Source organism: Homo sapiens, chromosome 6 (genome assembly GCF_000001405.40).
Source record: "Homo sapiens chromosome 6, GRCh38.p14 Primary Assembly".
NCBI classification, from domain to species: Eukaryota; Metazoa; Chordata; class Mammalia; order Primates; family Hominidae; genus Homo; species Homo sapiens.
In genome coordinates, this window is record NC_000006.12 from 7,170,619 (window position 1) to 7,184,514 (window position 13,896).

Consider the following 13,896-nt stretch of genomic DNA (forward strand, 5'->3'; position numbering starts at 1 on the left):
TGCCTGTCTGAAGCCTACCTCTGATGTGTGTTTGTTCCTGAGGAAGCCCTGCATAGATCCATTCCTCCCTGTCCCTCATTTATTATTATTTTTTATTGTGGTAGATAAAGCCAGAGTTAGAAATGGGGATCTTTGTCTCTGACCCAGGGCCTTGGTTTTTGCTCTGGAGGTGTATGATAAGCCAAGCAGCTTCTCCCAAATCCTCACTAAAGGAAGGTTTTCAGTGAGATCCTGAGCTTCTTCATGAGCTGGTTCTCAGGGCTGGATGGAAGCCTCCAGAGAGCTGTTAACTCAGAAACTCACACTGCTGTGCCAGCCCCCAGAGGGTTTCTGACTCGGTAGGTCTGGGGTGGGACTGAGAATTTGCATTTCTAATAAAGGGCTGGATGCTCATGCCCTTGGGGTTTGTTTGGTGGAGGGTCTGTAGTAGTTAATTTCTCCCTGCCTCGTGTTGGTGGATCTTCTCTGCAAGGTCAGCTCATCAGATAGGACTAGACTGTTCAGGATTCAGGCAGAGCCTCCTTTGCTTGGCTGCTTCTAGAACACAAGGGTATATAACGTGAAGTGCCCCATCACTTTGCAGAGCAAGCGTAGTGTTTCCAAACTCTTGCCCGCTGCAACGAACCTTTTAGACTGAGGTGGAAGTCCAGTTCTGCCTCCTGCCAGGGAGAGGAGGGCAGAGGTGAAGGGGGAGGAGAGCACTCCGCCTTCCTGCCTTGACGGGGACGGAAATGGAAAGCCAGGTGCAGAGCATCTGGAAGGGCAGCAGTGATGCAGAGCGAGATTATTAGAAGTCAGAGAACGTGACTAAGGGAGCACACCTGTGCTCTCCAGCCATGGGCCAGGAGTCGCACACTTTTCCAAAAGAAATTTAACAGAGTTCAGCAACTGGATTTATTACATTGCTCTACCACGCAGCAGCTCTAGGATCTTGGAGACAAGTGACTCAGTCCCTCTCAACCTTTGTCTTTATGGCTGTACACTGGGAACAATCCTCATGGTTGTTGTTTTGAGGATTAAATGAGACAGTGCATGTGGCACATGGTGCTCAAAAATGGTTAGCCATGATGAAGTGTGATGGGTGTGATGGCAACATTAGAGGTGAGTGTGTCCTGGAATTTGGAACCACGAGCCATGGGTCAGTGGGAGTCATGTGGAACATGGCCATGAGGGATGAGGTCAGGAGAGGGGTGCAGGCAGATATTCTGGGGCAAGGAACTGAGCAGAAAGGGTAACCAAGGGGACTGGTGTGCGACGGGGCCAGAAGGTGGACTGAGGCCAGAGCATGGAGACTCTTGAATGGCAGGTTAAAGAGCCTGACCATTAGTCTTTTTTTTTTTTTTTGGAGATAAAGTCTGGCCCTGTTGACCAGGCTTGAGTACAGTGACGTCATGCTAGCTCAGTGCAGCTTCGCACTCCTGGGCTCATGCAATCCTCCTGCCTCAGCCTCCCAAGTAGCTGGGACTGCAGGAGGGTGCTACCATACCTGCCTAATATTTAAATTTCTTATAGAGATGTGGTCTCACTTCGTTGCCCAGGCTGGTCTCAAACTCCTGGTCTTAAGTGATCTTCCCACTTGGCCTCCCAAAGTGGTGGGATTAGAGGCATGAGCCACTGTGCCTGGCTTGCTGTAGTCTTGAGAGGATGAGAGTATAGGAGTGTTCTGGAGCTCAGAAGATACCCAAAGAGGAGGCCGACATATATATCTTGGGTCCCAAGTTTGCTGCCCCCCTTCACCTCTGCACTTTTGTCTTGAATGTGGCCTGTACCAAGGGATGCATCCCCCCACCCCGGCTTCTTTTTTTTCTGTATCAGAGATGGGTTTTGCTGTGTTGCCCAGGCTGGTCTTGAACTCCTAACCTCAAGTGATCCTCCTGCCTCTCCGTCCCAAAGTGGTGGGATTATAGGCATGAGCCACCATGCCCAGCTCTCCCCAATCTCTTAGGAGTCCCTTCTCACCCAGGAAGAGAAGATCAGAGTTGGACGAAGCAGCTCACGGTGCCCCATGGTGTAGGGGCCTGCTCTAAGGCTCCTGTCTTACCAAAGCCTGTGCCAGCCACGGGTTGCCGGTGTGGGGGGGTGGGGGTGACTTTCTTGGGTTGCCGCCCTATCCAAGGCATAGCCTGGACCCTAAGCCAAGAAACACATCAACTTCCTGGAACTCAAAGCCGTCATCACAGCTGTCTCAGCCCTCAGAGCACATGTGAGGTGGTTAGAAGAGATAGTTTTGCCCCGAGCTTTGCAGGCAGAACAGGCATGGCCCTCGTGGAACATTTAGCCTGGTTTGATTCTGTCCCCAGCCTAGCCAAGACTCAGCCCATCCTTCAAGAGATGCCTTTGCTGTTTGTCAAGCTCCCTCCTGGCTCAGACCATTTTAGTGTCTGATCTCTTAACTAAAACTTGTAGCCTGTCGTGGGTTGGCCTGAACTGGTCAACTAGGCTCTTACATAGTATGGATCAGCCATCCCAAGTATTTGAGGGTGTTGTGGAGACTCTGCACTGTGCCCATCCTGGTCAAGTGTTGTAAAACCCACTGTTCTGTCGTCTGTGGGAACATTTTTTTCAGGGCCTCTACCATCATCCTAGGCATCTAAACTTATTCCACATTTCCTGGGGGCCTTAGGACAGAGTTTAGATTTCACTTCAAGAACCCTCAGGAGGCTGGGGCGGTTTGGATCACCTTAGGTCAGGAGTTCGAGACCACCCTGGCAAACATGGCGAAACCCCGTCTCTACTAAAAATACAGAAACTAGCCAGGCGTGGTGGTGCACGGCTGAGGTAGGAGAATCACTTGAACCCAGGAGGCGGAGATTGCAGTGAGCCAAGATCGCGTCACTGCACTCCAGCCTGGGCGACAGAATGAGACTCTGTCTCAAAAACATGAAGAAAAAAAAAAAAAAGAACTCTCAGGTTTTTGCCTATAATCCCAGCACTTTGGGAGGCTGAGGCGGGTAGATCACTTGAGGCCAGGAGTTCAAGACCCACCTGGGCAACATGGCAAAACCCTAAAAACCCAATTTTAGTCTCAACTAAAAATGCAAAAATTAAAGTTAGCCGGGTGTGGTGGCACACACGCCTGTAATCCCAGCTACCCGGGAGGCTTGAGGCACAAGAATCGCCTGAACCAGGGAGGCAGAGGTTACAGGCTTTCAGCCTTGGCGACAGAAAAAAAAAAAGGGAAAGAAAGAAAAAAAAGGAAAGAAACCCTCGGGTTTTTCAGAAGCTGGGATGCAGCCCTTATCTTTCATCTCTTCATTGCTGTCTCCTTAGACCTGGAGACCTGCCCCTTAATCTTCTGTTTCTGGCTTTACATAGCATTGTCCCGTATCTCCCCCGGGGCTTGGGGGCTGGCCTTTCCCTCCTCCCACAGAGGGACTTCCGCCCTCTCTTAGTCCTCCTGCCTCCGTTGACTTTGCGTAAATCTTGTGGGAGTGCAAATCCAGAAATTCAGCAGCCTCCACCAACAACCAGACCCAGGCTTTCTGTCACACTTCACCTACAGGAGTCATCTTTAGGGTGCTACTAGTCTTTCCTTTTTTTTTTTTTTTTTCTGAAGCATTGTTGATGGAGGTAAGGGGTGTCTTAGAGTTTCTTCTAATAACTCTTTTGTACTTTTCCGCTCTTCAAGCTCTGTGACTCCCTCAGGCCTAATAGAACCCAAAACAAACAGCCTCGTGAACTCTGGCTTTATATTGCAAGACATTCTCAATATTCAAATCATTTACACCCAAGGGCAAGAGGATGGAAGTTTCAAGGTCAAGTCTCTCAGCCTAGCCCTCTTTCTCTAAAACCATCCTCTCCTTGCTGTCCTGTGTGCTTCCAGGACGCTACCCGGTGGACCTTTTTTTAAGGTGTCTTTTTAAAATGAAGGGAAATAAAATAAAATGAAATGAAGGGGAGGCAGCAGATCTAAATTTTAATGGAAGTCTTAGCTACATGCTAGAAAATCTTAATTCTAGACACTTGTTTAGACTCTGAAGTGTGTTTATTTATTGTATTTATTTATTTTTTTGAGACAGACTCTCTGTCGTCCAGGCTGGAGTGCAGAGGCACAATCTCAGCTCACTGCAACCTCCGCCTTCCGGGTTCAAGTGATTCTCCTGCCTCAGTCTCCCAGGTAGCTGGGATTACAGGTGTGCACCATGATGTTCAGCTAATTTTTGTATTTTTAGTAGAGATGGGGTTTTGCCATGTTGGCCAGGCTGGTCACAAACTCCTGACCTCAGGTGATCCACCTGCCTCAGTGTCCCTAAGTGCTGGGATTATAGATGTGAGCCACCGCGCCTGGCCTATTTATTTATTTATTTATTTTAATTTTTGTTATATCTTTTTATTTTGAAGTGTGTTTTTATTAATTATGAGTAAAACTATGGTTCATGCTATTTATTTGGAGATCTTGGCAGTTTCTAGAAAAAAACCAAAGGGCTATTCCTCTTCAGGCTTTGTTCCTAATGAAATTTGTTATTAATTAAAATATGAAAAAAGAATAACTGCTTTTTTTTAAGCAATATTTAATTTCACCTTAGATGGGTGAAGATAGTCTGAAAGGATGTTTGTGCATTTCTGAAAACTCCACGGGTATTTTTCATAAAATGGGCTTGATTCATAGTTTACAAGAGGGCAGGTCATGTGTCACGCAAAACAGGGATTCTTACCCTGCTGTCCCTGGGTGGGTTTCTAGGGTCCCTGACCCTCCTGGTACTGAATGAAAATGTTGAGTATAGAGTATGTGCATTGTTTCAGTGGGGTGGGATGGGGGGGGTATAATGTCCAGTTTGAGGGTCTCTGCATTCCCTTCTGTGGCACAGGGTCCGTCCCTGTGGGTTAGTCCTGAGGTTCATGGTGACAGCTGTGTGGCATGGATGGGCAGCTTGTCTGTAGATGCTCCAGAAGGGGAATAAAAGTGAGAAAATATGCCAAGCAGTTGTTTCTCGCCCGGTGTTGTCCGTGTGGGGTTTATTTTACCTCTGAGTTTTCTCCCAGTTTTGTGCTCTTCACGTTAGCTGAGGGAGGCTGTGTTGAGAGCCAGGGAATGTGGCCACATGCTGTAGCTCTGGGAGATGCTGCATTCCAGTTTTCTCCCAGCACAGGGCTTTGAAGCCCTTGACACCCCAGAGCAGACTTGCTCAAACTTTTGAAGGGCATGTGTAATTTGAGATGTTTTCTGCATCTTCCCTACAGAAAGGAAAAGGTCTGCATTTGGTCCTATTTGACGTGTGTTACCAACACTTTCTCCTCACACCTGCGAGAGGATGTAATCATCTCTCCTCTACTTTAAGGCACTGTTTAGTTGTATATTTCTTATTATTTATTTTTTGAGACAAGGTCTGGCTCTGTTACCCAGGCTGGAGTGCAGTGGTGCAATCTCAGCTTACTGAAACCTCTGCCTCCTGGGCTTAAGCCATCCTCCCACCTCAGCTCCAGAGTAGCTGGGACTACAGGCGCATGCCACCACACCCAGCTGATTTTTGTGTTTTTTATAGAGACAGGGTTTCACCATGTTGTCCAGGCTGGTCTCGAACTCCTGAGCTAAACGATCTGCTCAGTCTTGGCCTCCCAAAGTGCGGGGATTACAGGCATGAGCCACTGCTAGTTGTATATTTCTTAATTTCTTCAACTGTCTTATTTTTCCCCCTCTGTTTCTGATAGCACTAATTGCTGCCTTGCTTTTCTCTTGTTAAACTGGCAGTCTGTAGGTGTCTGCTGTGAACATGCCATTAGGATGCACGAAGCTCCCCCCCGGAGCCAGTGGTCCGAGCCATTCTCACATGGTGCTGCCCTTGACGTTATTGGAATGTGCCTGGGGGATAGGGGTGTTCCTGTCTGTTCAAGGCACACTCAGTTCCAAGCTCTTACTTGGATGTTAATGGGACAACTCTGGATGGAATCAGCCTGGCTCCTGGCAGCTTGCTTGTAATTGCAGGCAAGGGATGGGAAATGTTTTCTAGTCCTAATTGGTGACTCCCGGTGATGTTGAGCAGAGGACCATTTCTGGTCTTAATCCTCTTTTAACATCACCTTTTCTTATTTTTGTAGGTTGCTCCGACTGTGTGTTCCAGGAGTGGTGGCTCTGAGGTGTGACCCTGCCCACGTTTGGGCCCAGCCAGGTTCAGCCCCCCAATAAGGAGGGCAGCTTGATAACACAAAGAAAACAGGTTAGTGAAACAGTTTTCACTCGCAGTGAGTCACAATAATGTTGAACGTCGAGTCTTCCCATGCCCTCCTCTCCTACCCTCCCCTACCTCCCGTTTAATTGTCATGCCATTTCCAGGTCCTCCTGAGGCTTTGTTGCAAAATCGTGTTGAAATTGTAACTAGGCCAGACATGGTGGCTCACACCTATAATTCCAGCACTTTAGGAGGCTGAGGCGGACAGATCACTTGAGGCCAGGCATTCAAGACCAGCCTGGCCAACATGGTGAAACCCTATCTCTACTAAAAATAAAAAAAAATTAGCCAGGCGTGGTGGTGCGTGCCTGTAATCCCAGCTACTCAGGAGGCTGAGGCACGAGAATCGCTTGAACCTGGGAGGCAGAGGTTGCAGTGAGCTGAGATAGTGCCACTGCACTACAGTGTGGGCAATAGAGTGAGACTGTCTCACAAAAAAAAAAAAAAAAAAAAAAAAGGAGGAAAGAAATTGTAACTATAACTTGTTAGTTCTTGATCTGATGGGCCTGAAATGTGGGATGAGAAAGGGTGCCAAGGGTTCGTCTCAGGAAGCAACACTTTGGACATCTCTCTCTTTTTTTTTTTCCCTTTTCTCTCCCTCCCTCCCCTCCAAATCCAGACCATGTGTGTTAAAAACTGGAACACCAGGTTCATCTGCTTGGTAATGTTGATCATATCTATGACTTGGGAACTTCATCTGGTTTCCCAGTGCTGATTCCAGTTGGAAGAGATTATATTAGAATATGACCAGTGATATTTATTTTTAAGAGACAGGGTCTCACTCTGTCGCCCAGGCTGGAATGCAATGGTGTGATCATAGCTCACTGCAGCTTTGAACTCCTGGGCTCCTGTGATCCTCCCACTCAGCCTCCCAAGTATCTGGGACTACAGACACATGCTACCATACCTGGCTTCTTTTTTCTTTTCTTTTCTTTTTCTGTCTTTCTTGTCTTTCTTGATGGAGTCTTGCTCTGTCACCCAGGCTGGAGTGTAATGGGGCTATCTCAGCTCACTGCAACCTCTGCCTCCTGGGTTCAAGCGATTCTCCTATTTCAGCCTCCTGAGTAGCTGGGATTACAGGCATGTGCCACCACGCCCAGCTAATTTTTGTAGTTTTAGGGGAGACGGGGTTTTGCCATGTTAGCCAGGCTGGTCTCAAACTCCTGACCTTAGGTGATCTGCCTACCCTGGCCTCCCAAAGTGCTGGGATTACAGGTGTAAGCCACTGTGCCCGGCCCCGGCTGATTTTTATTTTGTATAGGTGGGGTCTTGCTGTGTTTCCTAGGCTTGTCTCAAATTCCTGGCCTCAAGCCATCCTCCCACCTCAGGCTTCCAAAGTGCTGGGATTACAGGTGTGAGCCACCACACCTGGCCTTATTTTATAATAATAACATATATTATTACTAATATTGGAGTGATGTCAGGGAGAAGAAATGTTGCAGAAGAAAGAATGAAAAGTCTAGGATTGTAAATATCCAGAAAGAAAAAAATGCTTTGTGAATAGACCATAAAAATGTTAGTAATGGTCTTTTATTCCCCGAGATTGAGTATCAGAGGGTTTAGGTTGGTTAGTTTGGGCTGTTGTTCCAAAATTGTCCAGGATGTGGTTATAGGGTAGATAGGACCAACTAATACTGGCCAGCTTGCTCTGGTTCGATGATCTTGTAGAAGAGCCCGCATGTTATGGTGGGTTTTTTCTAACGTAGAACAATGAGCTCCATTGTGCCTTGCACCAGCTTCTTCCCCTTCTTCCCTGCTCTGTGGTCCTGAAGGAAGAACTCAAATAGAAGACATAAGAACAAACTGAAGTACAATCTTGTCACAGCCCAAGGGGCTGGTTGTTGGTTCCTTCTGGAACAGATTCTCAGGGATGAGGCCAGTGACTCTTTTCTTTTTTTCAAACAGTGTAGCTATGAGTTTCATTTTATTAATTACGCTTTCAGATTAGAGATGAGTCTCTATTTTTTTTTAATTGTTATTTACTTAAAATAGGAAAAGGAAGTAAATGTAAGTGATCTTGGTGTCATCAGTGGGTAGTGTCACACTTTATACTTTATCCCCAAGGAAGAAACATGTTTAGCAAATATCTTCCTGTCCAGACAAAATGGCAAACAACAAGGCTTTTCTCCTTTTCAAGTGGGATAAGCTTTTGCAATTTTCAGCCCTTACATTGGTTAACTATACTGACTGTTGCTAGGCTTTCTGTGTTTAAGACACTTAGGTAGTTTGCAAGAATGTATCTTTGATAACATGACTGAAAAGAATTTTTACTGGCAATTTGGCTCTGTTTAGTGAATATATTTTTTTCACTTTGCTTATTATTTCCCTCCTCTCCACTTCCTTCCCTTATTCAATGATAGAATTAGAATTTTTTTTATAACTTAAAATTTTACATTTAGTCTTAAAGGTGTTTAACCTGTTCCCAGACTTGAGCAAACTCTAACTCTACCACATTTTTCTTTCCTTTTTCTACACACATACACACACATTTTGTTGTTTGTTTGTTTTTGCTTTTAAAATTTGAGATGGGGTCTTGCTGTTTTGCCTAGGTTGGACTTGAACTCCTGGGCTCAAGCAATCCTACCGCCTCGGCCTCTGAAGTAGCTGGGAGTAGCCCTCTTTTCTAAATGTAGTAATAGGACAAAAGCAAGATCATCTTCAAAACTCATAGTATAAATTGGTGGAAAGTTTGTAACAATTACAGGAAAGAGAGATTTCTAGTCAGTTATGTTGTAATTCTCTGTACATTAAAATTGTGAGGGAGATATACGTATTTAAAAGAAGGAGGTGAGTTCAGTATTGAAGGTATCCATTTATGAATCAAGTATGTAATTATGTGATTGATTACAAAAATTCTAGGGACTGATGACTCTCTTTTTAGTAGTCCATTAAGAAAAAATTGTGTGTACACACTCATGTATGCACTTTGTGTCTACATGTTTTTTCCCTATAGAGAAATCACCCAAAATAAACCTTCAAAGACAGTTAAAAACAGAAAGTTTGAAACACAGTTTTTTTTTTTTCTTTTAATTTTAAAAAATCTTTTGTAGAGATAGGGTCTTGCTGTGTTGCCTAGGCTGGTCTCGAACTCCTGGGTTCGAGTTGACCCTCCCACCTTGGCCTCCCAAAGTGCTGACATTAAGGTTGTGAGCAACTGTGCCCGGTGTGAAGCACAATTCTTCATAAATTTAAAGGGTCTGCTAGCATGGGGAAATGTCATGGAAAGATGAAAGTATAGATGTTTTTTTGGGGGGTGGGGGCTGTAGCTTTCTTCTCTTTATGGAGAAAGATGTGGACAAAGAGGCTGGATCCATAGTCTCAAATTGTATGTTTCTGCGGTTAGTCCTTTTACCTACCAGTTGGAAAACCATTTGATTCACATCTTCAAAATGTCTATTGACAAGGAAGGTACATTTTATCTCTTTACAAGACAAGTGCTTTCCCTAAGATTCCCTTTTGCCCTTTTGGTAAGAATTTAGGCTGGTACTGCAGGTTTGTAGCTGCTCTGGGTGGTACCATTTCTCATATGCTAGGTCATATCCCCTAAAGTTGGAGGAGGAAGCCATGAGAAATCATATTCTTCCTTGTGTTGTTCCTACACGTTCTCTTTACAGCTGAGATGATGAGCTTGATCTTCAGCTGCTGTTGTGGACTCGTAGAATTTATTAGCACACATTGTGGGATAATAGGATCTTAATATCCAATTACCTTATGGTAGGGCTTCAGCTGTAGAATATCCTCCTAGTTAAAATGAGGGAAGCAGTAGACTTCATACCTACTGACTGGACCTGTAGCCATAATAGTCTAGTTGCAAGGAACGCACATGGCCTGAAAAAGTAAATTGTGACATGGCCATGGGCCATAGTTTTCCCTTTGGTCATTCTTTTCATGTCGCCAGGTTTCTTTTAGGTCTGTCCTGAGAGTGTCTAAACTCAGCCTTTAGTGAATGCCTGAACTGTTTTGTCTTTGGTCACTTTTAGATAAAGGCGTGAGACGGGTCAAGTGGAGCCTGAGCATCCTTGCAAGGGACTGAGGCACAGTGTGAAAGAGAATTTGATGCATGGGTATAAATATGAGCTTTAGAAAGTAAAATTTTACTGCAGAGTCCTTTTGGCTGTTGGGAGTGTGCGTAACAGGCAGTACTGTAGGGGTTAAGATAAGGTTGAGAAACAGCTGTAGAATGTGGTTTTGGAAGAAAGAAAGGCAGACATTGCCTCTCATTTGTGCTCCTTGCATTGTTGTGAATATAGTGGTCTAAGATTATAGCCAATAAATGATTTCAGTTTTTTCTTCACTAAGTGAAAAGATGTTCACTTTGGGCCTTTGCTTCCCTTCCAGTGTCAACGAGTACTACCAAGAGAAGAAGACAAGAGGTCAACACAGACTCATTTTCTACTCCGTGTGAATGATAGCTACAGCAGGGGAAAGTTTCATAGTCTATCAGTGGGTCAGAAAATGGAGGTAATCAGCAGTGTGGCGGGAGGGTTCTTCTTTCCCTCCTAGGGTACGTTACCTGCTTTATACATATTTTTTAAGAAACAGGCTTTGATATGTCAATTTGAAATTTGTTTGTAACTCTGATAGCGTTGGCTTCTTAAATCTCTTATAAAATTCAGGCTCCCCATCAGAATCACTGTATTGCAGCAGTGGAGTTAAATGAAACCTGATGTTTCTCATCACTAGTTTTAGGTCTGGAACATTTGTGTAGTAGTGAATAAGCCTAGGTTCTTAGGAGGGTGCTGCAGGGCGGCAGCTTTCTGGGCTTTGTCATTGTTGGCTTGGCCTTTCCCACTCTGCCTAACCCAGATTAGGAAAGGTAGAGAAACCTGCCTCTCATGAGTTTGAGTCCTGTTGGTAGTGCACACTCAGAAAGGAGGCAAGGTTACTTCGTCCTTGGTATGCCAAGACTTGGTTTAAATGAAAGCTTCCATCACTCTGGGCGTGAATGTGGCCTTTAACTGGAGAAAGACAGCGTTGGATGTTTTTGACCTGAATTACAATTAGAGTAGCCATGGCCAGCGCCCCCTGGCAATGACAGAAGCCTAAACTTCCCCATGATCACATCAGCAATTTCCAATTTTCAGTTTTATAGCAGAGGCTTCTTAGAAGCTTAAACCCCTGTCCCAATGACGTCAAGTTCGCCCGCTGGCTTGGAAGGTTCAGACCTATCTTCCATCAACACCATGATGTCGGCGGTCATGAGTGTAGGGAAGGTCACAGAGAATGGCGGGAGCCCCCAGGGGATCAAGTCCCCCTCGAAGCCTCCAGGACCAAATCGGATTGGCAGAAGGAACCAGGTAAGTGTTCACACCTAGTGGTGACCTCTGGTGGGTTCAATCCATGAGAACATTGGGAGATGTTTCCGAGTTTCCTATGATAAAACCTTGGAAGAATTGGGAATAAAACGGACATACCCAGAGGCCTTGATCATTTTTCAAGGGCAAAATTTTTATGGCTTATGTTAGTTTCCTTTCATGGAGAAGGTTTTCTTTGCTGTGGTGTCGATGTTGGTGGAAGTGCCCTTATTTTTGGCCCCACCATTGGATTTTAACTCAAGCTTTCTTCACTTGATGGCCATGGCAGGGAACATCACTGATTTCTGTGATGTGGTTTGTTTCCTCATTCACACAGCTGGCTATTTTTAAGTATCTTCAGATTAGGTAGCAAATAAGTATTGCCTGTGCTAGGGCTGCCGTTCAGCTTTCTATCCTTGAAAAAGCACAGAATTTGGCTTCAGATAATTCCAGTTAAGATGCTGTTTAGTCATCTTGGATTTTCATTGGGCATCAGATCAGAACAGGGTAAAGTAAATAGGTGGAATTGAGAAGGGTTAATGCTGTTACAAAAGTTGATGTCTTCTCTGTTGGGAAATAAATGAATCTTCAATGTAAGATGGGACATTTCCTTGAAAAGTTGTTGCTGTCTTGGCAACATACTGTTGAACAGAAAGAAGGAAGGTGGTGGAAGGAGGCAGAGAGTGAATACTTCTCATTTCAACTCTGGATCCATGTAATACGAGTTGACTTCCTCGTGTTTAAAGTTTGGTTTAACTAATTTAATGAGACTATACTAAATCCTTGGAGAGAAGGTGGTCTTGCATTTGTCCAGGAACCAGCAATGGATGAGAAAGCAAACCTGCTGGGCTTTTGTAAACTAATTTTCTTTTTTTATAAATAATCCTACTGTGGCTGTCCTTATACAGAATTCTCTGAGTATTAATATGATGGTTTTCTATAAATTCTTAGAAGTAGAGCCTTAATTAAGGCTTTCGATACAACTTGCCCTACAAGAAAAGTTGTACCAGCCCCAAACCCTGCCAGCAGTATGGGGGAGGATGCATTTCTCCACACCTTGCTGAAGGATGGGGACTTGGCAGAGTTCAGTGATGTTTTAGGGTTGGAACATTGATTCCTTTCTCTCTCTCTTTTTTCCCTTTTCTCCTTGTGCCTCTCTTCCTGTGGGTGCCTGAGAAAATACTCAGCCTGTATGACTGTGGCCTGAGTCGAGAAGGAGTGCTAGCTCTGAGAAGAAAAGGTTTATTTCCACTCTCATGTGACTATCCATCTATCCATCTCTCCATCCATCAGCCCATTGGACAATATGTACCCAGTTCCTATATCCAGCTAGCTACTGTACCAGGTGCCAGGCATTTCGGGAAGAATAAGACAGACAAGGTTGTCGTCCTCATCCTTCTGCTCTACCAGGAACAAGTGAAGTGATAGGAAGAGCTTTTCCTCAAATAGCTCTGAGTTGTCCCAAGTCCAGCCTCCAGATCAGAGACCGTGGTTAGGGCCCTGGAGGATGCCCACAGCACCTCCCATGTTTGCATGCTAACTGGAGGCTGCCTCTTCAGGTGTGAGGAGGCAACTGTGCAGGTGGGGCAGGGCTGCCTTTCATCCCCCTCCTTTCTTCTCCAGGGATCTGGTATGCTGAGTTTGCTTTTGAAATGGAGGTCCTGGCCAGAGGTAGCCTGGTAAATACAGTTCTTAATCTAAAAAAACAAAACTCAGTGGGGAGAGAGTATGGGGAAGAAGGAAGCATTCTCCTTACCTGTGGACTAGACAGGGAGTGCTGAGAGACGGAGCCTGGGGAAAGTCCCATTGGTGTGAGCTTAGAGTTCCAGGAGAGATTAGCCACAGCCGGATGCTGACAAGGGTGCCAGATTGTTTCATTATGGAATGGTTAGTTATCACATTAGCTGCTAATTTTATCTTTCAGCTCAGGAGGTGTGCTCCTTCCACCAGCATGGCTGCAATAACTGGATTCAGAATTCTCCATTAGGGTGCTGGGCGTGGTGGCATGTCTCTAATCCCTGCTACTTGGGAGGCAGAGGTGGGAGGATTGCTTGAGCCCAGGGGTTCAAGGCCAGCCCGGGCAATATTATGAGACCTCCATGTCCTATAAAAAACAAAAACAGAATTCTCCAGGAGGGCCTCTCTTCCAGTATCACAGTGCTGTCTTTTCTAGTAGGTTCATTTTATTATTATTATTTTTTTTATTATTATTATGTTTTAAAATAGAGACAGGGTCTCTATTTCTCAACCAGAGCATGGTTGATTCCTAGTTTCATAAACTATACAGCTAATGTGTGTAAACTGTCTTAATTGCTGTGATATCTGGCTTTTTTTTTTTTTAATTATAAAAAAAACTTTTTGCAGAGACGAGGTTTCACTATGTTGCCCAGGCTGGTCTCAAACTCCTGGGCTCAAGCCATCCTCCCACCTCAGCC

The 13,896-nt window shown here is 45.1% G+C and overlaps 1 protein-coding gene across 4 annotated transcripts in view, besides 1 other annotated feature; it reads left to right on the forward strand.

Moving 5' to 3' along the window:
• The window catches only part of RREB1 (ras responsive element binding protein 1), a 144,238-nt gene that overhangs the window by 62,876 nt on the left and 67,466 nt on the right, over nucleotides 1-13,896 (forward strand). For all 4 annotated transcript variants that reach the window (NM_001168344.2, NM_001003699.4, NM_001003700.2 and 1 more), the window contains exons 2-4: nucleotides 6,037-6,155; nucleotides 10,506-10,628; nucleotides 11,252-11,464. In NM_001168344.2, coding sequence (NP_001161816.1) covers nucleotides 11,294-11,464 — 171 coding nt within the window. In that variant the 5' untranslated portion in view covers nucleotides 6,037-6,155; nucleotides 10,506-10,628; nucleotides 11,252-11,293. The remainder of the gene's footprint in view (nucleotides 1-6,036; nucleotides 6,156-10,505; nucleotides 10,629-11,251; nucleotides 11,465-13,896) is intronic.
• Nucleotides 11,514-11,967: an enhancer, noted in NCBI's record as "ENSG00000124782_6:7127364-7127817 (NCBI36/hg18 genome assembly) insert fragment". NCBI's record gives its function as "drives selective reporter gene expression in differentiated C2C12 myotubes {active_cell/tissue: C2C12}" and the evidence as "EXISTENCE:reporter gene assay evidence [ECO:0000049][PMID:22144875]".